This window comes from Homo sapiens, chromosome 2, assembly GCF_000001405.40.
Source record: "Homo sapiens chromosome 2, GRCh38.p14 Primary Assembly".
In the NCBI taxonomy this organism is placed as follows: Eukaryota; Metazoa; Chordata; class Mammalia; order Primates; family Hominidae; genus Homo; species Homo sapiens.
The window spans coordinates 59,368,465-59,394,529 of record NC_000002.12 but is presented as its reverse complement, the minus strand read 5'-3'; the positions used below and the strand labels follow the sequence as shown (position 1 = coordinate 59,394,529).

Genomic DNA, 26,065 nt, shown 5'->3' with positions numbered 1-26,065 from the left:
TCACAGCAGTTTGGAATAGATAGCAGGGTGAAGAGGGCTGGTCGTCACAAATGTAGAGACATACACCGAGGGGCCATTCCTGGCTTAGCTTGCTCATCCACAGTTACAAAAGAGAGACAAGCAGGTTGAGTTGTCAGCCTAGGTCTGTCCTATGTAAAGAAGTAGGAATGGAAGAGGTTAGTTCTCCCCAGGGCAGTAAGTAGGAAGTATATACAGAAGGAAGAGATAGAAATCATATCATGGATGACCTTGAACTCCATGTTCAAATTTAGCATGAAGTCTTATTCTCTCACCTTGACATATCTGGATGCCAATTTTTAGCTAATGATTAGACACTTACATAGTATTTATGACCTGAGCATTTACAACTATTCAGTCATTTATGCCTATAACAGCTGTATAAAAACTTTCATAATTCTCATTTTAGTAGTTCAGAAACTGTAATAAAGAGAAATCAATTAATCAGCCTTACACATCGTACGGTGCTGCCTTGCAAACTAGAAGGTGCACATAGTCTTCAAATTTTCTTTTGCTTGATAACTGGTACATGGAAACCGTCCACTTGTAGCTCAATTTTTTTAGTTTAAAAGTGATTCCTCTTGGGAGTTGGAAACTCCACTAGGTAAGGTAGTAGCATTCTGAAGTCTTCAGTATCACAAATTAGAGCAGAAGGCAGCATAGAGGTACACTGAAAGGAACAGCTGCTATCAAGAAGAGAGGATGCAAAGGAGCAGGACTAGAGTGGCCCACACTAACTTGGCTCACCTCAAATCTGCACTAAGCACTGACCTGAGAGCAGGAAATCAGAAATAATTGTAAGTTTTCAAATACAGGAGAAGTCTGATAAAAATGATAGTTTAAAAAAAAGCAGTCAATCTGTGGATTTCATGAAGAGAATGAGCTTTGAGAATAGTAGACTTGAATAAGGCAAGAGCAAAGGAGCATTTTGAGTGAGAATTGGGCAAAGGTGATTGAAAACCAGGCAAAGTGATTTATCACCTAATATAGAGGTTGATCTAACTTGAACTGAGTCTACAGCAATACTGGATCAATACTGAATCAATAAGTCTTCAATAAGAGTGTACATTTATTTCTCTTGCATAGACTTCCTGTTCTGACTTTGCTGTCTTCACAACCGTGCAAATGGACAGGATTACTTCTCCACAGGACTCATTTTTTTCTGGGCTAAAGATTAGGTTCAAGTCACTCTGTAAACAGGTGGTAGTGACTTCAAACTTGTTAAATAACTTTCTCAACTAGCTTAGAGCAGCGTTTGATGTTAATACATTATTAGTAAACATTTATTAAATTTATGGGATAATTTAAAATGTTCTAATTTACTTAGAAAACCTGGCTATGTTCAACTGAATTCTTTGCCCTGCTGTCCACAAAATTTTTGTTTACAGATCTTAAATAGTGAAAATTCTGCTTTGGTAGATCTTAGATCCTGTCTTTGCAAACAACCCAACGACCCAAAATAAAGGGGAACACTGGCTTTTATGATTCCAAAGTAAATTCTTGATCTTAGATAGTGCTTGATATGGTTAGGTTTTATGTCCCCACCCAAATCTCATATTGAATTGTAAGCCCCATAATCTCCACATGTTCAGGGAGATACCTCGTGGGAGGTGATTGGTTCATGGGAATGCTGTCTCCTCTGCTATTCTCATGATAGTGAGTGAGTTCTCACAAGATTTGGTGGTTTCATAAGTGTCTGACAGTTCCTTCTTCATGCACTTGCTCTCTCTCGCCTGCCACCATGTAAAACATGCCTCTTCCATTTCCACCATGATTGTAAGTTTCTTGAGGCCTCCCCAGCCATGCAGAAGTGAGTCAATTAAAATTATTTTCTTTATAAATTACCCAATCTTGGGCAGTTCTTTATATCAGAGTGAGAATGGATTAATACAGTGCTCTTGGTTTTAGTTTATGTGTAAGATTTTTTTAATTGGATAAATTTGTTATTCTGTGCAGGTTTCTTGTTTGCTTAGCTGAAAATCCTATTCTAAAATGTACCCTTGAATGTTCAGTTTGTCTACTTTTTATCACAAGAAACATCAATACCACAGAAGGGCCATGTGACATATATGTAGTGCAATGTGTCTCCTTACATGTACCCCAATGCAACAATTACAGAAAGCTCTGTTTCTTGTAAAATTGTGTACTGCCCTTAACCCAGATAAAGAATCACTTCTACAGGAAAAAGTTTTTGCATCATTTTCTGCCCACCCACTCCCCTTAAACTTTCCCTAGTAATGCCACCTTGCAGAGGAATGAGAGTAGAACAACATTGTGGAAGCTTCACTTGCACACAAGCTGCATGCCTAAAGTCTGTGGATGGAGTAGCCTGTTATGTTTCTTTCTGCAGGAATAAGTGCATATTAATGAAAATGGTTAGTTGACTGTGGATCATGTTTCCCCAGGAATTCTGCAGAGGAAGAGCAAGCTAATAATTGCCAGGGTCATCTTTGCCTAGGTGATTGTATGCACAAACTGTTTTGCTGGAATCCTATTCTTAAATTAGTTGAAAATCAGTTAGCTAATCATTTCATCAAGACCAAAAGTTACCAGAAATCTGGTTGAAAAGAAATGTGCATTTTGAAGTTGCGAGGGTCCATATTCTACGTAGTTAATTGTCTTAGTTTTTTACATTTGGAATAAATCCAAAAACAATGTTCAAAATTTAGCTTTGATTCCCAGAAATCATTCAACTGATGGCAAAGCCATCTCCTGAATCAGAGAAGGTATGCCGTGTTTAACACACTATCTTATTATTATGAGTTGTAGTTGCTAAAACTATGGTAAACATCAGTTACACTGGATGATACTAATAATTTTCTCATACCAGGTATTTTGTTTCTCATACAGAATTGTGTCTGCAAAGAAATAAATGCCTTTATAATTTTTTGAAGTTCTCATCTAGATTCACTGCTTTGGGGATAAGGTTTTGAAAAACTCTTTCTCATTTAAATATTCAGCTGGTATAGCTTAGGTTTGAAGTTCAGCTGACCTTAACATGACACCCTCAATATTAAACATTATCATTTCCATAAGATCTGTAAAATTTGAAACATAATTCCATAGAACAATATTAATTCTAAGAAGTATTAGATCTTATGTCACAAACAGGGGCCCTAAACGTAGTTCTATAGGCCCCTTTCCTCTGAAGCCACTCAAAATCTCTAGCATGTTCATATGTGCCCTATGACTCTCCAAGAGAGACTTCTCTAAAATCTATCTGACTCCAGAATTTTTTGTGGCAAGACATTTTGAAGAACTACTAGCCCATGAAACATACTTTGGCAGATGTTGGCTTTCTTTGAATTTTTTCTTCTTCACAAGAGGAAAAATGGAGTATGAGAATAGGATCAGAGAAAGACATACAGCTGTCAGGGAAATGAATCAGAAAGGGATAATGGAGGGCTTGGGCAACTAACTTTACTTGTTTTATATTTTTACCCCGAATAAGTTCTTCTATTAGGCCCAGAGAGTTATCCACAAAGTCCACTTCTTTTCATCAGTGCTCATGCAAACCAGAACCATGGAAATTCTTCACAGAGGCTCTTTTCAATGTGTCATAGAGGAAGCAATGGGATGTGGGCCAGATTAGATTTCCCTGCACTCATAAGCTATTTTCCCTAAGGCCTGCAAGAGCAGCACATGAATAGCTAGGAGCCAAATTTGGCCCATTTAAAATATTATTGCATTGTCCACCATAATGATGGTAATAACCTTGTAATGAGTGTGCGTAGAGCTGGGCCCTGTACAAAACCCAGAAGGAGCCACACTCCTTGCTGGTGCGTAGTGAATACCAAAGAGGCTTTCCATTCCCCATCCAGGGGAAGTCACTGTTAAAAAAGCAGTTGATCACTTTCTTTCTGACATTCTGGCCTCTGGCCATGAATATTGAGAGCTGTTATCCTCTGAGGCTACTCATTTCTTTCTCTAGAAGCCTTTAATGCTTACGGTAAGTATACTACCTTGTAACTTATGCAACCTTAAATAATGTTGGTTATCCATTCCATAAACTATTCCTCAAAAAAGGTCAGATTCAATACCTAATATTGATGTAAGAGCTTCACCTAATTCCACTGAATATAGAAATCTATCTACAGATTTCTTTCTTCACATATAGAGAGATTTGCACTGACTTATCTAAACTCTTCTGGCATCTGGCAGTCACACCTTCACAGCAATTTTCTTCATGTTTTAAACCTCTCTCTTTTTTTAAGAATTGGCAAGCAGACAATTTATTGATCATCCTCATTTTGTAAGAAAGGCTTAGAATAGCTTTCAAGAAATAAAACCTGTATAAAATCGTATCTAGTAAAAAATGTTTGGAGAAGTTGAAAGTAAAAGAAAAATGGAAAGGGAGGAGTAGGACAGAGACATGACACAGTGAAAGAAGAAAAACAGTTGACTTCAGAGCAAGGGAAATTAATATTGAACTAATGCTATTCTTTGGTAAGATAGCTTTTAAAACAGTTATGTGAGGTAATAAGACATGTAAAGCAGCTATGAACAAGTTAATTGGCCCTATTTGAATATTTTAGGCAGGATTACCAACTCAAGTATTTCCTCATGCTGTGTTGCTGGGAACATCATTCTACAATAGTGGTAATCCTTTATCCAACCACTCTATAATGCCAGGAAGAAGTTTAGCTGTTACATTAAAGGTTAACCAAACCATTACATTCTTCTTTTGTTTTTATTATTGTTTTTGATATTGAGTTGCAGAATTGAAGAAGTGACTCAAAAGAGTTGTGGCAAGTATAAAATAAGTCACTTAGATATTTCTTTAAATCCAACTTAGTTTCAGAACGCCATGCTTGTTCAGAAACGCTGTGTGCATTAGAGACAAAAATCAGGAATTGAGATATTTGCGAAGTGACAGTTTTCAAATTCTTGGTGCATGAAAAGTCCTGAATTCCTAGAAACTTCTTACCCAGCCAGGCCCTTGAGAAGGATATACACAGCAAATCCCAGCTCTTGGGCAGCATGCCAAAAGCCTAGAGATTAAGGTCATCTAAAAATGACTAGTGTTCCTAAACATGATGTGATTTCACAAGCTTAAACATGTCTGACGTTCTTTTCTAACCTTTGCTGGATGCTTCAACAGTGTTTGGCTGTCAATAATTTACCCTGGCTGATTGAGTTTATACTTGCCTGCTTTGTGAATAAAAGTGTTTGGATTACAAAGAAGAGATTGAGTTATCCTGCAGAGAGATGGTGCAATAAGCAGATTTTTCTCTTCTTTCATCCACAGCATTATTTCAGCTGGGAGCTGTAGTATGTGACTAATTAGCCAATGGAAGTCCACTCTCTGGACTTTCTGGTGGTATATTTACACTGAATTCTGGCCTGATAATAAAGGTGTCACCCAGTGTAACAATGTGACACACCCAGAGTGAAGAAGAAAAGTCTAAGATAACACAGAGCCTCTGTCAGCCCTCAAACTTATTTTTCACAAGCTTCAGCAATATTCCAAACAACAAAAGAAATATGACTGAACAGACACAAATTTTGAGGACATATTTTTTCCCCAGTATTTTTTTAACAGGTACTACTGATGTCCCAGTGCTTTTGAGGGTCTTGTTTGTCCTCCTGGATGCTTTAGGAAGTTACCACTTTCAGCTCACCTAGAGCTGATCTCATTAATAAAAGAATGACTTTACAGAAAAGAGTTTCTAAAATTATACTCTCACTCAGAATTGCAAGAGTTGGCTTTTCAGCCTGAAGATAAATTTCTTAAGCATTAAGCTTACTTTATCAAGTATTACACCTGACATTCTCTCATAAATTTTGCATATATTTTAACTAATTTTAATATTGTGTGGGCTTGGTTTATAATATTCTCATGCAGTTACTAAAGTTGAATCTTCTCAGTCATATATTAGTTGTAAGAATGCTTAACCCCTTCCAAAATATCACTCACTTAAAATCACATCAGCTAAGTCTCCTCTTATTTTTGCTTATTTCTTGGTTATTTACCATGCATTTTGTGTATGTTGGAACCAGCCATGCAGTCGTTGTATTCCTTTTTTGAGAGGGCAAATGTATTTTGACAAGGTTGCTATTGGAAACACTTTTTAAATATCTCATGTGTCACATCACAATCAGCATCATAATCTGATCAGGTGGATTAATTTCAGAAGGCAGCAGAGGGCATTGCTTACAGGGGTCACAGACATTCAGATCATGGCAGAACTGTCACAGATGTTACTTTGTGAAAACACAAAGAATAATGTGTTTGGAGAGATCAGTCTTCAATTAGCTATATTTTCTAGGAGCCTACCTTTACTTAGCCTCACAACATGGGCCTTAGCTTTAGCACTTAATCTGCACAAATACCTGGCTTAAGTGTTATGACTGACTGGCTATTCAACCAAACCATACAAATGACCAATTCGGTAAGAAAGCATGAACTTCAGTGTTGAACCAAATCAACCAACCTCCTCAATCCAAATGGTAAGTTTGTTCAGAAAGACGAAAGGCAGAAATTAAGGTATTTGTACAGTAACTACTCTGTTTAAAGGATATCCAGTGGGTCCTAAAACGAATTAATGTGGTTAGTTTGGTGGTTATAAGTTAATAGGACTCAAGAGAATTAAGGGATAACACTGACATATTGGGAAGATTATCCCACAAAGGGCAAAAAGGGTCAAAACCTATACTTCCTATGCCTATTACCTTTTCAAGAACAATGTTAATTAACAACACTACTGGGCACTAAGTATGTGTCAGGCCTACTGCTAAGGTCTTTACAATAATTATTTCATTTCATCCTCAAAACAACACATGAGCTAGACACAGTCACAACTCAGGTGAGGTTAGTGCACAATATTAAAGTGGATACCAAAAATCTCAGTAAGCAGAATAAATCATATTTTAATAAAATATTTTTTAAAATAAAAATAAATACAAAAATTCATAACGAATAAATTATCAGAATTTAACATAAAGATAGGTTATTGTCTCTTGTGATCCTGTATTATCGTGCAATTGAACAGTAATATTTAACCAGCCCAAGGTTCTGGCCCTGGGGCATCATTGCACACCCCACAGGGTAAATTTATAAGGGTTGACAATGGCTGTGAACAGATTGGACAATGCAAAGCTTTAAATATTGACATGCTTTTCTGATTGTGGAACTTACTTTTTCTTTTTCCACTTGATTAAAAATATTAGAGGATATTTTATAGTGTGTGTAGTAGCACACCATTTTCTTTTTTGCTTCAGTCTCGAATATGACTTGGCACAGCACTGGAGATATATATCATCATGATTCTTTTTTTCAAAAAATGAAGACTCTGAGGTTCCAGAGAAGGGAATAAAGTTGCCCAAGCTTGCACAGCTAGGAAGTGGCAGAGCTCAGTTTTGAACCTAAGTAGTTTAAGTTCAAGCCTACCCTCCTAATCTGCTCTCTTAGAAAGTACAACACTCTATTAACCAGAAAATTCAAGTATCTAGCACACTTCATTCTCTGGACACTGGAGTTATTAATATGGTATTGCTCAATTACATCCTTAACATTTTTAATTTTTAATACAACTCCTTCTAAGAAAGAAATTATACCTTTTGTAAATAGTATCCAGTGTATCTACCGATACTGCTGTGAGGTAGGTGTGAATACTGTGTTTGAGGGCATCATTATTAAGGAAATATTTAAATAAATGGTATTTTTAAATGGGGACCATGATACTCTGCCTGTAAGAATGTGAAAAAGGCATTAGAAAACCCTAGCATGTTCTCATCCTTTTGCCATAGGACACATTCCCTTGGCCAGACACGGATCTCTTCTCAGGGTAAAATTTGGAAGACTCAAGTATTAAGCCATCATGTCAAAATAGTACCTTGCTTATTTTAAAAGCTAAAAACAGCACATATCTGGACATGTATATCACTTTGGCTCTGCGATAAGGCTAATATTTATTTTGCTTCTGCAAGCTGGTTTTTCTTGACATGGGAAACAGTGTTTTTCTTTGAGCCATGAATGGTTATGTATAAGAGTTTATTTAATTTTATTTTTGTGAATGAGCAGATTCTGAACAAGAGTACAATTTTGATTATGTATATATTGATGATAAGGAGGAGGAGAAGGAGGAGGGAGAAGATGAGGAGTAGAGAAATATTGTGCTTCTGAGAAAATTTCAGCGTGGTTCACTGTGGTAAGGAAAACCATCATACCATCAGCTCTGGGAAGTCCAGCTCTAGGACTCCCTAAATGACATTGCAAATCACAAAAAGAGAGGAATTAGGAACGTACCTTTTCTTTTTTAACATCTGTTTTGCTGCAATTTTTGTTTTGTTTTGTTTTGAGACGGAGACATGCTCTGTCGCCCAGGCTGGAGCGCAGTGGCGCGATCTCGGCTCACTGCAAGCTGCGCCTCCCAGGTTCACGCACTGCAATGTGTTTAAAACTACAAATGTATTCTCTACAGCTACTTTCATTCATTAACTCATGTATGGATTGATTCATTTATTCACTGACTCTTTAAGACCGCACATATATAAAATACTATAGTATGCACTGAAGAAACAAGGAAGAAATTACATAGTTTCTGCCCTTAAGAACCAGATATGTTGACAAGTATTTGTAATGACAATAATGTGTGTATACACAAAATAAAATAGGGCCACATCACAGTCGAAGAATAGTCTGCTAGGTATATTAAGGAAGGCTTCCAAGAGGGAGTTACATTGAGGCTCAGGTTTAAAATAATAAATAGAAGTTTGCCAATTGAGTAATGGGAACAGACAAAACAGAAAATGCAGATGCCAAGAGAACATGGCATGTTTGGGGAATAAGTTGTTTAGTGTTGCTGAACCATAAAAAGTAACAAAGAAAAATCTAGAAATAAGGTGGCAGACCTAGACAGAGGCCAGACTGATAGATATGCAGTGTTGCCATTCACAGTAGCATAGCCTTTATTCTGGAGAAACTGGGCAATAATTGAAGAGTTTTGCCAGGAGAGAGATATCATCAGGTGGGAATGGTGCAAGACCATTCAGATCTTATATAGAGTGTATATCAGAGCGATAAATACAAATACCGATAAGCTTTTTTTCTTGTTTTTAATTTTCAGGACCTCTATCTTCTTCCTTCAATTAAAGCTTCGTAATTAAATAATGTGAATTTGGTTGTTTCAAAATTGGTTCATTTGATAGTTTGATATACGAAAACACATGCTGGCAAAGCATGTCTGATAATCTTACAAACATTTGCAATTTTTAATTATTTTGCCGTATACAGATTAGTTCAGTAGAATGAAGCTCATTTTTGTGCTTTGACTGTATCAAGAAAAAGTATGATCATGTTGCCAAAAGGCCAGCCATATGCATTTTTGACCACAGAGAAGGGAATATGTGTTTCTTGTAAATATGAGCATTTTTTACTGTGTTCATATTCCTTTTAGGACCTCACATTCAAATGCATGCCCTCCAAAAAGTTTAATTTTAGGTGGAAGCCCTCAATGGCCAATAAATAACCCTTAATCTTCCTCCAACTAGCCATGGTTCTGTTTGTGACTGTTGGAATTATTTCATAGTGTTTCAGCACAACTCTGATAGTTTTCAATGTACTTATTATCAAAGGTTTGAAGTATGATGTCTCCTGATTTGCCAACATTCTTCTTACTTTATAAACAGTCAGGTGAGATAGCACAGCAAAGACAACAATTCATTTCTATTCTGGTCATTATAAAATTTTACTTAAAAGTGTCTTCTCTCTTTGCAGAACAATGCTATTCTAGGAGTCTGTGCTAGAATAAAATCCTAATGCAAAGGCTGTCTTAAAATGCTGAACCCAGAAGAATTTGGCATAAATAAGACATGGAGTTAGCTGACATGAGATATTACATTTATTCCACTGTTGACGAGGACAAAACTGGGCCGCTATTGTCACAGGTGAAAAGTGTTTTCCAAAGTCTGCTCTGTTGCTTGTTAGATAAGGGGCTGCCTTAGTCTGAATAACCTGAACAAGATTTATACACATCACTGAAATTGACTCCTGTTTACCGCCCATCCTTGCTCACTACGATTAACAGTGCAAGGGCAGCATGAGAGACATCAAGTGAGGAAACCTCAAACAACCTTCAGAGAAGTGCTAGGAGGCTGCTTAGGAGAAAACAGCCTTTATGAGTCTACTCTTTTACTTGTGGCAGGTAGCAACCTCTCTCCTGCACCCAGAATAGACCCCAAGTTGTTCTTATGGCCTGGGCAGGAACTTACGTTAGTTGGAGGAACTTTCCATTTAAAAATGGTTAAAATACATTAAGTAAGCCAGAGTTCTGTCATCTTCTCTACAAAGAGTGAGATGCTTTACACAAACACACACACACATACATGCACACACAAATCACAGAATCAAATGATGCTCCTTAGTGTGGAATTTTTTAATACACCATTGTGCCACAATCACGGGGAAAGAATGCCTTTATGGAAAGCTGGAATTTATACTTGCTTAGTGTATGCTTTTACTGCATGGGGATCCTCTCTTGTACACTCTCACTTGGGGACAATTCAGCTCATGCCTGTGCTCCTAGTGACTGAGAGATTTAAGTCCGTTTATGATCTATGCAGAAATTATCTCTTCTTCCAAACCATCAAATGTAGTGCGTGGGTGCAATGGCTGCCTTCCAGTGAGCTGAAAAGCTCTCATGACTTGGCATACAGTCTTTCCCTTGGCCCTTCAGTAATGGCATTTCACTTAATACAATATGCCCCTAACTGAGTTTTAGTGATTTCAAATGAATTTAGTCTCCTTATCAATATCCTCTATTTGGTGGTGTGTTTGCTCTTCAGTGTGCTGTGCCAATAAATCTAGCACAAGTGCTGCCTCCTTCCCTCTCAATTGTCTGGCCTCTCCCTGTGAAAGCAAACACCAGGCAGCAGAAAAAGAGGCTCTCAAAAAACTTGTCTGTATCATAAATGTAAATATCAATAAACTCAGGAGGTTGATAAGGGTATGCTCTAATGGATTTGGCCGTGTTGTTAGCTGTTTTACAAGCAAGATGCTGGAATACTAGGAAGCCCAAGCAGCTTGCTTGGAGTGCTAAAAGAACAAGTCAAAATTTTAATCCAGAAAAATTGTTAGTGTGTTCAGAAACAGAACTCAATGAGTCCCATCATGAGGCAAGACAGCACAACCCTAGAAGGAAAGACGATACATCTTGCAGAGTCTATCTGTAGATTCTCCATGATCTGTATAGAGAAATCAGGTGGCAAGTGATTAAAAAAATTATTATTTTCCAAGCTGGAAGATTCTAAGAAAACTCTTTTCACTCTTGTTTTGTTTTGCTTTGCTTATGTTTTAGTATGCTTTCTTCTCTTTTTTGATCTCTATTTTTATTTTTATACATACACAATATGTACAAACATTTATGGGGTACATGTGATGTTTTGTTACATGCATGCAATATGTAAAGGTCAAATCAGGTTATTTAGGATGTCCATCACCTCAAATATTTATGATTTCTATTTGTTGTGAATATTTTAAGTCCTCTCTTCTAGCTATTTTGAAATATACAATACATTGTTGTTAACTATAGTCATGCTATTCTGTTATCAAACGTTAGAACTTATTCCTTCTAACTAATTGAATGTACCTGTTAACCAACCTCTCTTCATCCTCTCACTCCTTCACATATACATCCTGTCAGCCTCTGGTAACTATCATTCTACTCTCTACTTTGGCAAGATCAACTTTTTTAGCTCACACATATGAGTAAGAACATTGCAATATTTGTCTTTCTGTGCCTGGTTTGTTTCACTTAATATGATGACCTGCAGTTCAATTCATGTTGTTGCAAATAGAATTTTATTTTTTAATGGCCTCATGGTATTACATTATGTATATGTACCACATTTTCTTTATCCATTCATCCATTGATAGACACTTAGGTAGATTCCATATCTTTGCTATTGTGCACAGTGCTGCAATAAACATGTGAGTGGCAGGGAGGTATCCCTTTAATACACTGATTTTCTTTCCTTTGGATAAATACCCAGTAGTGGGATTGCTAGGTCATATGATAGTTCTATTTTTAGTTTTCTTGAGAAATCGCCACACTGTATTCCATAATCATTGTACTAATTTACATTGTCATCAATGCATAAGAGTTCCCTTACCTCCATATTCCCACTAGCAACTATTGTATTTTGTCTTTCTAGAATAGCCATTCTAACTGAGTAGGATGATATCTCTCTGTGGTTTTGATTTGTATTTCCCTGATGTTTAGTGATGTTGAAAATTTTTTTCATATACCTGTTGGCCATTTGTATGTTTTCTTTTGAGAAATATCTATTCTGATTTTTGCCCACATTTTAGTGAAATTATTTGATTTTTATTGTTGGTGAGTTGTTTTGAGTTCCTTGTATATTTTAGATATTAGTCCCGTCAGATGAATAGTTCACAAATATTTTGTCCCATTCAACAGGGTGTCTCTTCACTCTGTTACCTGTTTCCTTTGCTGTGCAGAAGTTCAGTTCAATATAGTCCCATTTGTCTATTTTTGTTTTTGTTAGCTAACTTTTAAAGTCTTGACTGGACAAATATCCTGAAGAGTTCCCCTATGTTTTCTTCTAATACATTTATAATTATAGGTTTTACATTTAAATCTTTAATTCATTTTGAATTTACTTTTTATATGTTGAGAGAAAGGAACTAAATTTTATTCTTCTGCATATGGAGATTCATTTTTTTCCAGCACCATTTATTGAAGAAAATGTCCTTTCCCTCGTATGTGTTCTTGGTGCCTTTGTTGAAAATCATTTGGCTGTAAATAATTGAATTTATTTCTGGGTTCTCCAATCTATTCCATTGGTCTGTGTGTCTGCTTTTATTCCAATACCATGTTGTTTTGGTTACTGTAGCCTTGTAATATATTTTGAAGTCAGGTAATGTGATGCCTCCAGCTTTGTTTCTTTTGGTTCTGATTGCTTTGTCTATTTGGGCTCTTTTTTGCTTCCATGCACATTTTAGGATTGTTTCTCTATTTATTTCTGTGAAAATTATAATTCGTGTCTTGAAAGGGATCGTATTTAATTTGTAGATTGCTTTGGGTAGTATTCTAATTTTAACATTATTAATTTTTCTAATCCATGAGGATGGAATGTCTTCTCATTTGTGTCTTCTTCAATTTTTTCATCAGTGTTATATAGTTTTCCTTGTAAAAATTTTTTTAAAAAAACATTTTTGAAGAGATGGAGTCTCACTATGTTTCCCAGGCTGGTCTTGAACTCCTGGCCTCAAGTGATCCTCCCCATTCAGCCTTCCAAAGAGCTGGGAATACAAGCATGAGCAATTGTGCCCAACCAAGTTTTTTACTTTCTTGGTTAAATTTATTCCTAGGCCTTGTATTTTACTTTTTATAGCTATTATAAATGGGATTGACTTCTTGATTTCTTTTTCAGCCAGCTTATTACTGGTGTGTAGAAATGCTACTGATTTTGTGTGATTTTGTATCCTGCAACTTTACTGAATTTTTTTTATCAGATCTAAGTGGTTTTTGGTGGTGTTTTTAGTTTTTTCTCAATACAAAATTATGTCTTCTGCAAAGAGGGACAATGTAACTTCTACTTTTCCAATTTGGATGCCTTTTATTTCTTTCTGTTGCTTCATTGATCTAGCTAGGATTTCCAGTAGTATGTTGAATAGGAGTGGTGAAAATGGGCATCCTTGTCTTGTTCCAGTTCTTAGAAGAAAGGATTTCAGCTTTTCTACATTCAGTATGATGTTAGCTGTGGGCTTGTCATATATGGCCTTTATTATGTTGAGGTATTTGCTTTCTATGGCTAGTTTTTTGAGAGTTTTTCTTTTATCATTATGAAGAGACATTGCATTTTGCCAAATAATTTTTCTGTGTCTGTTGAAATGATAAGGTTTTTGTCCTTCATTCTGTTGATGTATCATATTCATTGATTTGTGTATGTTGAGCCATCTTTGCATTCCTAGTATAAATTCCACTTGACAATTGCATATTTTCTTTTTGATGTGCTGTTGGATTTGATTTGCTAGCATTTGCTGGGGATTTTTGTGTCCATGATAAACAAGAATATTGAATTGTAGCATTCTCTCTTTTTTTGTTGTGTCTCTGGTTTTGATATAAGGGTAATGCTGGCCTCATAAAATGAGTTAGGAATAGTTCTTTTCTCTTCAATTTTTTTGGATAGTTTCAAGAGAATTCATGTCAGTTCTTCTTTATAAGTTTGGTAGAATTTGGCAGCAAAGTCATCCCATCCTGGGGAGACTTTTTATTACTAATTCAACCTCATTATTCATTACTGATTTGTTTAAGTTTTCTATTTCTTTCTGATTTAATCTTGCTGGGCTATATGTGTCCAGGAGTTTATTCATTTCCTACAGATTTTCCAGTTTCTTATCACATAGCTGTTCATAATAGCCTCTGATGGTCTTTTATATTTCTGTGGTATCAGTTGCTATGTCTCCTTTTTTGTTTGTTTGTTTGTTTTTCGTTTGGTTGATTTGGGTCTTCTTTCCTTTTTTCTTAGTTCAGCTAGCAGCTTATCAATTTTGTTTACTTCTTCAAAAAGAACACTTTTCATTTTGTTGATCTTTTATATGCTTTTTAGTCTCAATTTCGCATAGTTCTGTTTAACGTACATGTATGTATAGTTTCCATAGTTTCCCTTGTTATTGACTTCTAATTATATTTCATTGTGGTATGATAAGATACTTGATATGATATTGATTTTCAAAAATTGTAAAGACTTGTTTTGTGGCCTAACATTGTGGTCTAAACTAGAGTGTTCCATGTGCTGATGAGTAGAATGTGTATTCTGCAGCTGTTTGATAAAATATTCTGTAAATATCTGTTAGGTCCATTGGTCTAAAGTGCAGTTTAAATCCAATATTTCTTTGTTGCTTTTCTGTGTAGATGATCTGTCTAATGCTAACAATGGGGTGAATGCTGAGAATAGAGTCTATCTCTTTTTTTTTCAGTCTAATTATATTTGCTTTATATATCTGAGTGCTCCAGTGTTGGGTGCATATATATTTACAATTTTTATATGCTTCTGCTAAATTTATACCTTTATAACTACGTAATCATCTTTTCTGCCCCTTTTACTGTTTTTGACTTAAAGTATCTCTTATCTGATATAAGTATAGTTACTCCTGCTCAGTTTTGGTTTCTGTTTGCATGGAATATCTTTTTGCATTCCTTTACTTTTAGTTTATATGTGTCTTTACAGATGAACTGAGGTTTGTTTGTTTGTAGACAGCATACTGTTGGGTCATACTTTTTGTTTTCTCTTACGTCCATTCAGCTGGTCTATATCTTTTACGTGAAAAGTTTAATCTGTTTACATGCAGGGTTAATATTGATATCTGAGGACTTATTCCTGTCATTTTGTTAATTGCTTTCTTTCTCTCTTATTGTTTATCATTGCAGTTCAGTGCTTTTCTGTTGTGGTAACATTTGAGTTCTTTCTCTTCTCCATTTATGCATTTGCTTTACCAGTGAGTTTCATACTTTCATGTGTTTTATTGATGGTAGATATTGTTCTTTTGCTTGCAGGTTAAGCATTTCTTGCAGGGCTAATCCAGTGGTGATGAATTCCCTCAGTTTTTGCTTGTCTGGGAAACACTTTATTTCTCCTTCATTTTTGAATAGTAACTTTCTTGGGTATAGTATGATTGACTGACAGGTTTTTTTTTCCTTTAGCACTTTGAATATATTATTCCATTATCTCCTGGCCCATAACGTTTCTGCTAAGGAATCTGCTGTTAGTCTAATGTGGGTTCCTTTATATGTGACTAGAAAATTTACTCTTGCTGCTTTTAGAATTCATTCATTGTCTTTGACTTTTGACAATTTGAACATAATGTGCATTGGAGAAGATTTCTTTGGGTGAGACCCCCAGGTGGTACATGCAGGTGGCTGCCAGCAATGGTAGTGGTGGTAGGCTAGGTGGGCCCCTCCTCAGATTTCCATAGGAATACACAGATGCCAACAGTGGTGAATGGAGCAGCACAACCCCCAGGCCTCTGCATAGTATGTTTGGCTGCTGGAAGCAAGTGTTCTGTGCCTATTGTTGAGCTCTCTGGTGGTATGCATGTTCACTCAATGTGACCAGTGGGGTAGGGTAACACCCAGACCCACAAATAGTGTGCTTGGGCACTGACAAGTGAAGAGCATTGACAGGCTGGCAAACCTGTCCTCAGGCCCCCTGGCAGTGCACATAGGTACAGGCGGTGGTGGGCACAGTGGGGCTATCCTCAGGCCCCCATGCAGTATGCTCAAAGTGGTCACAGTGGGCAAAGAGAGCCTGTCTTTAGAGCATGTGCAAGAAGGCAGGGCCCTGCTGCTGATGGGGACAGTGTTGCTGTCAATGGCAGCAGTCCCAGACAGGTGACTCTGTGGCTCTGGGAGCACATACTTTGGTTCCCTTTGACTCAGGGACAGCCTCCCTGCTGTACTTCATCACCTGTTACCCAGAGTGTAGGATACTCTTTGGGCTAGAGTGCTGGGTTCCCTATCATACTCCTGGTTCCAACTGGCATTGCACTGCTGCAGCCCTCTGGGTAGACACAAGGGAATATCAGTGAGGCTCCAGGGATGTGGAGATTCAGGGGTTGTTGGGCCCCAGGACAGGATGCAGTAGGTGGGGTTGGGCTCTCAAAATGGTACCATACTGCAGGTGCTTGTGTTTTGAGGAGTGTTTGGGACCCAGAGTGAACTTCTTCTTTAAAGCAATGCCATTAAACATTTTCCAGGCAGCTCCCTATACTAGTTTCAGCACCCTCAGTGGTCGAGAGGCCCTCCCATGGCTAGGATTGCAGGAATTCACAGTGTAAAGGTGGACTTCTGGGGACAATATATTTTACCCTTTCCCCACATGGGAAGCTTCTCCAGGCACTCAGCTGATCCCAGCAAGGCTGCTGCCTTGCTTCCCTCTCCTTTCCTGCCTTATGTGTTTTCCATCACTTCTCTGTTGAATTCTAATGTTCTCTCTTGGGTCCTCTATTCAACGTGTGATTATCTACTCACTATTTTGGTTATTTGTGGAGGAGGTGAGTGTTTTCTGCCTCTAGGCCTTGTAGCCTATCAGTGCAATGGAGGGTCTAGGTCTCTGTTCCCACAATACCTTGGACCTTCTGTTAAATAGATGTTTTCCTTTTGTTGGTGAATATTCAGTGGAATATTGTTTCCTTTTTAAGATCTTATACCAACTTAACAAGTTTCCTTTCTGGATAGTCTGCATGCAGACAGGCTGACCTCCAGAATGCTGCAGTTAGACTTTCCCAGTTATGGAGGCAGACAATTCCCAAGATCACCAGAGTGAGCTGATCAGTTGAAAACCCAGGAAAGCCTAAGATGTAGTTCCAGTGTGACAGCCAGCAGGCTCAAGACTCAGGATGAGCTGATGATTCAATTCAAGTACAAAGGCTGGAAAAGGCTAATGTCCCAGTTTGGAGGCAGCCAGGCAGGAACTCTCTTCTTTTTTAAATTAAACTTTTCATTTTGAGATGATTATAGATTCACATGCAGTTGTAAGAAATAACGTAGCAATAACTCCTGTGTCCTTTACCTAGCTATTCCACAATGGTAATGTCTGTTTAAAATTTTTTTCCTTTTTTTTTTTTGAGATGGAGTCTCCCTCTGTCACTCAGGCTAGAGTGCAATGGTGCAATCTCAGCTCAACCTCTGCCTCCCTGGTTCAAGTAATTCTCCTGCCTCAGCCTCCCGAGTACCTGGGATTACAGGCGCACACCACCATACCCGGCTAATTTTTGTATTTTTTGTACAGACAGGGTTTCATCATGTTGGTCAGGCTGGTCTGGAACACCTGACCTTGAGATCCACCTGCCTTGGCTTCCCAAAGGGCTGGGATTACAAGCGTGAGCCACCAGGCCTGGCAAGTAATGTCTTAAACTGTAGTAAAATATAACAGCCAGTATTTTGAAGTTGATTTAGTTAAGATACAGATGTTTTCATCGATACAAGGGTGCCTCATATTGCCCTTTTATAGCCACATCCACTTACCTTCCATCACCACCTCTTCTTAGCCCTTGAAAAAAGCTAATCTTTTTCCATTTTTATAACTTTGTCAGTTCAATAATTTATATACGTGAAATCTTGGGATTGGGTTTTTTCACCTAGCGTAATTATCTGGAGATTCATCCAAGTTGTTATATATGTCAATGGTTTGTTTCTTTTTATTGCTAACTAATATTCCATGGTAGGGACATACCAAGTTAGTTTAACTATTCAACTGATGAAGGACATTAAAGTTGTGTCCAGTTTCAGGTTATTAAAAAGAAAACTATAAGCAGTTGTGCATAGATTTCTGGGTAAGCATGTTTTTATTTCTCTAGGATACATGTTCCAGAGTGTAATTGCTGGGTCATATGGTAGCTGCATGTTCAGTATTTTAAGACACTGCCAAACTATTTTTCATGATCCCTGTACCACTTTACATTCCTACCAGCAATGAATGAGTGATCTGGTTTTCCACATCCTCTTCGGCATTTGGTGTTGTCACTAATTATTTTATTTAGCTACTTTGATACGTGCGTAGTAATATCTTATTGTGGTTTAATTTGTATTTCTCTAATCGTTAATGATGTTGAACATCTTTTCATGTGCTTATTTTCCATCTGCATACTCTTTTTCCGGTTTTGTCCGTTTTCGAATGGCATTTTTTTAAATGTTGAGTTTTCAGAGTTCTTTAAGTATTCTAAATAATTATCCTTTACCAGATGATTTTCAAATATTTACCATCCTTTCTCCTGCCTCAGATGGTTTTGCAAATATTTTCTCCTAATCTGTAGCTTGTTTTTTCATTCTTTTAACAGGGTCTTTCACATTTAAAAAAAGTCTTTATTTTTTATAAAATCTAATCAATGTTTGCTTACATGAATTGTGATTTTGCTGTCAAGTCAAAAACACTCTTTACTTAGACATAGATCAGGAAGATTTTCTTCTGTTTTTTCTAAAAATTTATAATTTTATATTTCACATTCAATTATGTGACCCATTTTCAGTTTTTATTTGTATAAGGAGTGAGACTTAGGTAAAGGTTTATTTTTTTAAACAATGTATGTTGAATTTCCCCAGCACCACTTGTTGAAAAGTCTATTTTGACTCCATTGAAGGTTTTTGCCCCTTTGTCAAAATCAATTGGGCATATTTGTGTGGGTCTATTTCTGAGTTGTGTATTCTAGTCAATTAATCTGTGTCTCTATTTCTTTGCCAATTACATGTGTCTTCATTACTGTAGCTATATAATAAGTCTGGAAATCAAGTAGAATGCTTTCTTCCACTGTATCCTTTTCAAAATTGTTTTAGCTATTACGGTTGTGCAACTTTTTTCTTGCCTCCATGATTTTTGACAATAAATTTTGCCATTCAATTTTTTTCCCCTCTATAGGTAAGGTGTAATTTCTCACCTGATATTATCAAGATTTTTTTGTCTTTAGTTTCAGAAGTTTATTACGATATGTCTTGGCGTGAATTCCTTTGAGTTTATTTTATGTGGGGTTTGCTTAGTTTTTTGAATCTTCAGGCTTATGTCTTTTGTCAAATTTCGGAAATCTTTAGCCATGATTTCTTTGAGAAGTTTTTAACCTTACCTCTTTCTCCTCTCCTTCTGAAACTCTAATGGCATGAACATCAATTTTTTATAGTCTTATAGATCCCTGAGGCTCTGTTCATTTTCCTTTTCCTGTCTATTTTCTCTCTGCTCTTCAGAATTTAGGTCATTTGTATTGTTCCGTCATTAAGTTTAGGAATTCTTTCCTTTTGCCTTTTATTCTGTTATTGAGAATTTTTAATTTCAGTTTAGAGTTTTTATTATATTTTTCAGTTCTAAAATTTCCATCTGCTTCTTCTTTATATTGTCTACTTATTTCCAAGAATTTGTTTCTTTGCTGTGTCTTTATTTTTTTCATTGTTTCATGTGTGCTTATAATTGCTCATTGAAGCATTTTTTCATGATTGCTTTAAAATCTTTGTCAAGTAATTCTAACATCTCTTTCATCTCTGTGTTGGCATCTATTCATTGTCGTTTTTCCTTCAGTTTGATATCTTCTGGGTTCTTAGTATAACAAGTAATTTTCAACGGAATCATTGACATGTTGGGTGTTCTATCATGAGTAAATTTTTCTTAAACCTTGTCTTTCAGCTGACTTCTCTGGCAGTGCTCTAACAGGAAAATGAGAGTGCTGCCTTATTACTGCCATGTTGGGATAGAAATTCAATTCTTCACTCACCTTGCTTTCACAATTAATGTGGGCAATATGCTTCATTATACTCCATTACGGCTGGGTGTGGGTCGGCATTCTGGCTCTCCACTATGTCTCCACTGATACCCTCCTGGCTGGCGGGGGTTGGAGTGCCTCCTTCCTGCCTCCCACATGGCTTCCACTCACACAGAGTAGGTGGGGAAATCTCATTACTCCTTGATGAAAGTCATGACTTTCCACTATTCCTGCTCTAAAGCCTTCCTGGTGGAGAAATGAGGAATGGTCAGAAATTTCCCTACTTCTGGTTGAGTGTGGCGCTCTAGGCCATGTAGTCTCTGCCTATACTGCTTGGGGAGGTGTTACTGTTTGCTTCATATATGTTGTCCAGGGATTTAGTTTTATTTAGTGGAAAGAATAGGGAAAAGTGTATCTACTTCCCAGAAGTCCTCCCACCTGATGCATTCTGCTTTAATGTCATCTGAAGGTCTGCACTTAAGCATGGCTTCCCATGATTTTGAATTAAAGTCTGTTTCCAAAAAAAAAAAAAAAAAAAAGAAAACTGTGTCTCCCACCCATGGTTTATATGATACCCAAATCTTTCTAAATCAATTTCAAACATTTGTCTTTTCTGTCAGGCAAACCATGTATCAGCTGCTCTAGAAAGGGTAGTAATTCAACCATTAAGAGGTACTCACATCTGAGGACTAATCAGTTGATCAGATCAGTTAATTTCCAACTGTTCCAAACAGCTTTGAACTTGAGGATCTAAGTGGAGAGCAGGCGTAACAACAAAGCATTTTTTAAAATGCAAAAATTATTATACTTAATAAATTTTTTAGAAAGTTAACTTAAAATTAAAAATACAATCAAAATAAAATTAACAATTCAAATGTAAATATTATGCAAATATTTTCATGATTCCATGACTTCCTGCCTTTGGAGATTGAGTTTGGGAAAGCTTTAGTTTACTTTGATGTAACAGGAGAATTATCTAGGAAACTTTACTTAATTAAGAAATCCTTTATGTATCACCTTTTCTAGTTAGTGAATGCTTTCACCATTTACAAAACATGTTGAAGAGAGAGCATATATTTAGCAAGATTATGGTTTCAAAGGGAAATGTTCTCTCCCCACAAAAAAACTGAATAATTTTAAAGACTAAAAATTAAAAACAGCTACAACAAAACAATAGTAGCATTAAAAAAATCATAGGTCATTCAACTAAAGAATCCAAATTACTTTTTTTGGTAGCTTATAAATTCCTTAAAAATTTTAGTAGCTTATAAATTTCTGAAAATTTTCAGAAAAAAAATGGATTCAGTGATTCACTTTTTTTTTTTTTTTTTAGTTTACACTTTTAAAATTCCAGAGCCTCATCAAATCCCCAATACTTATATCTTACTTTAATCAACTATATGCCAGGATAAAATTAACTTTTCAAGGGGTAATTTTACCTTAAAGTTAGTTTCAACTTTCTGACCTCAGCATTCCACCAAAATGTTTATTTTTTATTCCTAAAAAACTACAGTTTCAGGAGAAAACATTCATGTAAAATACTTTTTCTTATACCAAATAGGCTTTTATTTTTTATTTTTAAGAAAAGGCTGAAATGAATGTTAGATTTTACTATTTATAAGAATTATTTTCTAATCTGTCAGGTTTACTATTTGTTTTTTTTTAACTTTAAAATGGGGCATTTTTAATAAAAATAATGAAGGGAGACCAGGATCTAGTGACTAGTTCTAAAGAATCTTTGCTGCTATGTGGCAAACATTTAAATGCTAATGGCAACACAGACAGGTAGATGCACTGTGCCACCAACAGTGTTATCTATAGGAAGGAAAATGCTTGTCATTGGTGACCTCTACCTTGTTCTCTTTGTTCTCTTTAGGTCTCATAATCCACATTCTTTTGGCAGCATTTGAAAATACTAATGATCTTCTTTTCCTCCTAGACATTCTCTAACTACCCTGACACATTTCATTCTCTTGGTTCTTTTCTTACCTCTCAGTTTTGAGAGGTTTTCGTGTTGTCTTCATGCTTTATTTTCATCCTGGAGAATCTGTTCTTGTGGTCTCCATGTCTCTCACATTCAATATGTTTTTTAAGTCTTATTTATCATTTTTTAATAAAAAATGTATTTTCATGGTTCACAAACAAAAGTCACAAGGTGTATACTGACAAGATTCTCTTCCAATCTGTCCTTATTTTTCCCATTTTTCCTTTCCATCATGTATGACTACCTTTATTAGTTTTGTATATTTCTTGTCTTTTTTTTCAGATGCCAGCAAATAAAATATATATTCTACTTTCCCAAACTTTTTTACACAAAGGTTCATATACTTCATGCAATATTCTGCTCCACGCCTTTTTTTTTTTTAACTTAACTATATATCCTGGTAATTGTATTATATTGCTACCTCTCCAAAAACTGCATAATGAGTCCTTTTGTTATTATATCCTAGTTTATCTGACCATTCCTCTACTGATGAACATTTCATTTGTTTCCAATATATTGCTCTTGCAAAATCACTGTAATTGATAACATATATCATTCCAAATATGTAGGGGTGTACAATGAAAGAGCGGGCCAATGGCTCGCTTTTCTTCTTCTATAAGCCCTAATAATTTATCACTCTTAATAAAACTCCAGGCTGCAACTTATCTCTGTTTTCAAAATGTATACCTTATATATATATATCTTGTACTCTAGAATGTGCCCAATTTTCTCTCTCAAAATACCAACTACTTTCTAGATATTGCTACTTGAACATTCCATTGGCATTTCACATTTGTCAGTTATCAAATTTAATTCATCCTTTTCTTTTTTCATTATCAAACCTGGTGCTTCTGTTGTTGCTGGGCATGTGTGAGATTTTATCTACTATCTAGATGTTATGTGTGTATGCATTTTTAATATTTTCTTTTAATTCCTCTTCCTTAACTGCAAACTTTGTTTGTTTGGTTAAACTCCTCATTTTCTCTTCAAATCTTTTTTTTGTTTGTTTTATTTTGTTTCCATTCTGTTCTGCAACAGCATGAAATCTGCATGGTGGTCATTTCCTAGACTTTTCACAACCTGTCTTTTTCTTTATCTCGGGGCTGAGCAAGACTGTAATGGAATAAAGCGGTCTGATGCTTTAAAGTCAATATGAGCTAAAATGTGATGACTTCACATTTAGTAAATTAGATGTCTCTCTGTTACCAGGAGTTTAAAATATCCATAAAAAACAAATTTCTCACTCATAGACACTACTCAATTAAATGACCAGTACTAAATTAAACTTTTTGCCTTTTCAGTTTATTTTGGCTCTTGTGTCATCTGTTAACTCGAAAACACATTTAATTAACTTTTGGCCATACATTTAATGGTTGGCACATTATTTCACTGCTATAAAATGCTATGAAATAAATAATTGTTATGGAATTAATGGGACAATTCAAATGATAGAGCTACCAGGTACCTTTAATTTTCACTGGGAATGTTAAACTTTCAAGAAAACCATTAATTCTGGCCATCATGTTGAGTTTTGTCTATTTTGTTCTGTTTTACTTATTGAGTTCCAAATAACCAAGATCAACTTTTTACAACAATCTACTAAATTTTAATGAAATTACCTTAGTTTTTTTAGTTAGACTGAGCCTTTGTCCAAAATCAGAGGCATATCTAAGCCTTCTTGAAGAAAGTAATGACCATAATGATTTTGCCTAATTTTATCTACTTGCAACACTTCACCTGTATTTGTCATTTTGTAGAAGTCAGATCTCCTTCATCACTTGCTCTTTGCAGAGTTAATTTGAAAAGCATGAAATATCTAGAGGTAAAACTACAACATACATATCCCATGCTGTGTACAAAGTAGATTGTATCTCAAACTTTCTGATACAGTGATCTCTGTAGAAAAGAATATGAAAATAAAAACATAAATTGATTAAACAGAGATAACTAAAAAGGTTTAAACAATGTTCAAGAATACTCTAGTTACTTTGTAGCTATCTAAGATAGCATCAGCCAACTAGATGTGAATTTTGAGAACAGAGGGCAACTCTGATAAAATAGGCTTTTTCTGTTTTAATGTAGTGGATGTTGGTTTCTGATTCTAAAATGGATAGTTCTGTTTACGATAAAACTTCCACCAGGAACAACTACATCAGTAATATATTTAACAGCATTCTTTTTATTATTGGATATCAGAGAAGCTAACTTGTCAGTAATAAGGGATTGAAGATCATGTGTTTCCAGCAATTTTAATAATATGGGGTATATATATTTTCGGAAAATCATCTGCCTATGGAGAAGTGAAATATTTAGCAATATTAAAATACTTACATTTGATCTCTTTGACTATCAAAAATAAACAAATCCCAAATTCTGCCATTTGGTAAAATTCACTAGGTAAAAGTCACATTCCTGATAAATATATACACACACATAAACCAGTGTGTGTGTGTGTGTGTGTGTGTGTGTGTGTGTGTGTGTGTTGGCTGACCAGTTTTCAGCTTAAAAACAGTTCAAGTTATAACTGGTTTAAAAGTACAGATACCTCCTCTATGACAGCAGTACAAACAATCACAACATTGTGTATTAGGTGCACACAATGCACCTAATAAAAAAGTAATTTTGATAAAAATACTATACTAAATCAATTCTTATATTGGTCAGTTACAATGAGGGAAAATAGTACCACCACAATTTTAAAATGACAGTGCTACAGCAAACCAGTCATAATATGCTTGAGTTACTACTGAAAGCAATAGATTTAGAGTATTAAGAAAATACATGCTTTCTTAAGTGCTGTGAATTATACTGAATAATCCTGAACACCTCTTTTACTGAACTAATGAAACAAAGTAGAGCTTATTGCCTTCTCTATAATCAGTATGTGCAAAAATGTATATGGAAATACAGATTCAGCATATATGCTACACCATTCTCAGGGATAACGACTGTTACGCAGCATTCAGTTTAATGGATCAAAAAAACCTCAATTTTGCAATTCAAGACCACTTCTAATTTGGTAAAGGGCCTAAAAATGTGGTTTGGAAGACTGTAGAGACTGGACTGGGCTTGGTGTGCTATTTAAATTGAATTTATAATCTGTTTAGAGTTTGCAAAATTAAGCTAAATGTACACATTTCGCAGCACTTGATCTTTTGAATAACATAGTATTTTGGGGGTATCCTCCCTTTTTCTCTCCCTCTTAAAACCTGGAAGACATGAAGCAAAATATGTTTAACAGGAATTAGTTCTTTCAGGCTTACAATGAAAGAGCTGCAAGATAGTAAATATTTGTGCGGTAACTGAAAAGTACTTGCTAATTGTAGAAAATTTGAAAAATAACAGAAAAATGGAAATAGGGACATTCAAATTGTATACAAATATACTACCTAGGTAAACAAATGTAAACATACATAACCCAAAATACACATGAATAAACACACACACACACATACATATACATGCAACAGAACTTACAAATATAAGATCAAATAACATACAATTTCCTTCCAGTTTAAATAAAACACACAGTTTCCCCCATAATACGATAAAACCCATCACTTTCTAATATTTACATCTGGGGTGTCTGTTTGGTGGAAATACTATATAATGAGGTAGTATGGTGTGTCTTTTAGCAACTTCATATTAGCAGTTTGAAATCAGCTATGGTGGGATCATTTCACTACAGCAATACAACAAATACTACAAACCAGAGTCTGAATTATTGTTTTGCAGTTAAGTCTCAATAAAGCAATGGAGAAAATATTAATAATGCAGGTTTACATTTAAAATATGTCACATCTTTAGTGGTTACATTATGAGTAGTAGTAAACTTTGATCAGATAATTCATCTACTC

General features: G+C 35.8%; 1 long non-coding RNA gene across 6 annotated transcripts in view; it reads left to right on the top strand.

Moving 5' to 3' along the window:
* The first annotated feature begins 5,021 nt into the window (after window positions 1-5,021).
* Window positions 5,022-26,065, top strand: part of LOC105374754 (uncharacterized) — a 150,795-nt gene continuing 129,751 nt past the window's right edge. For 4 of the 6 annotated variants that reach the window (XR_940129.3, XR_940127.3, XR_940128.3 and 1 more), the window contains exons 1-2: window positions 5,022-6,468; window positions 9,737-9,906. This is a non-coding gene — a long non-coding RNA (uncharacterized LOC105374754). The remainder of the gene's footprint in view (window positions 6,469-9,736; window positions 9,907-26,065) is intronic. The other 2 variants (XR_002959389.2, XR_940130.3) reach the window with 1 other exon arrangement.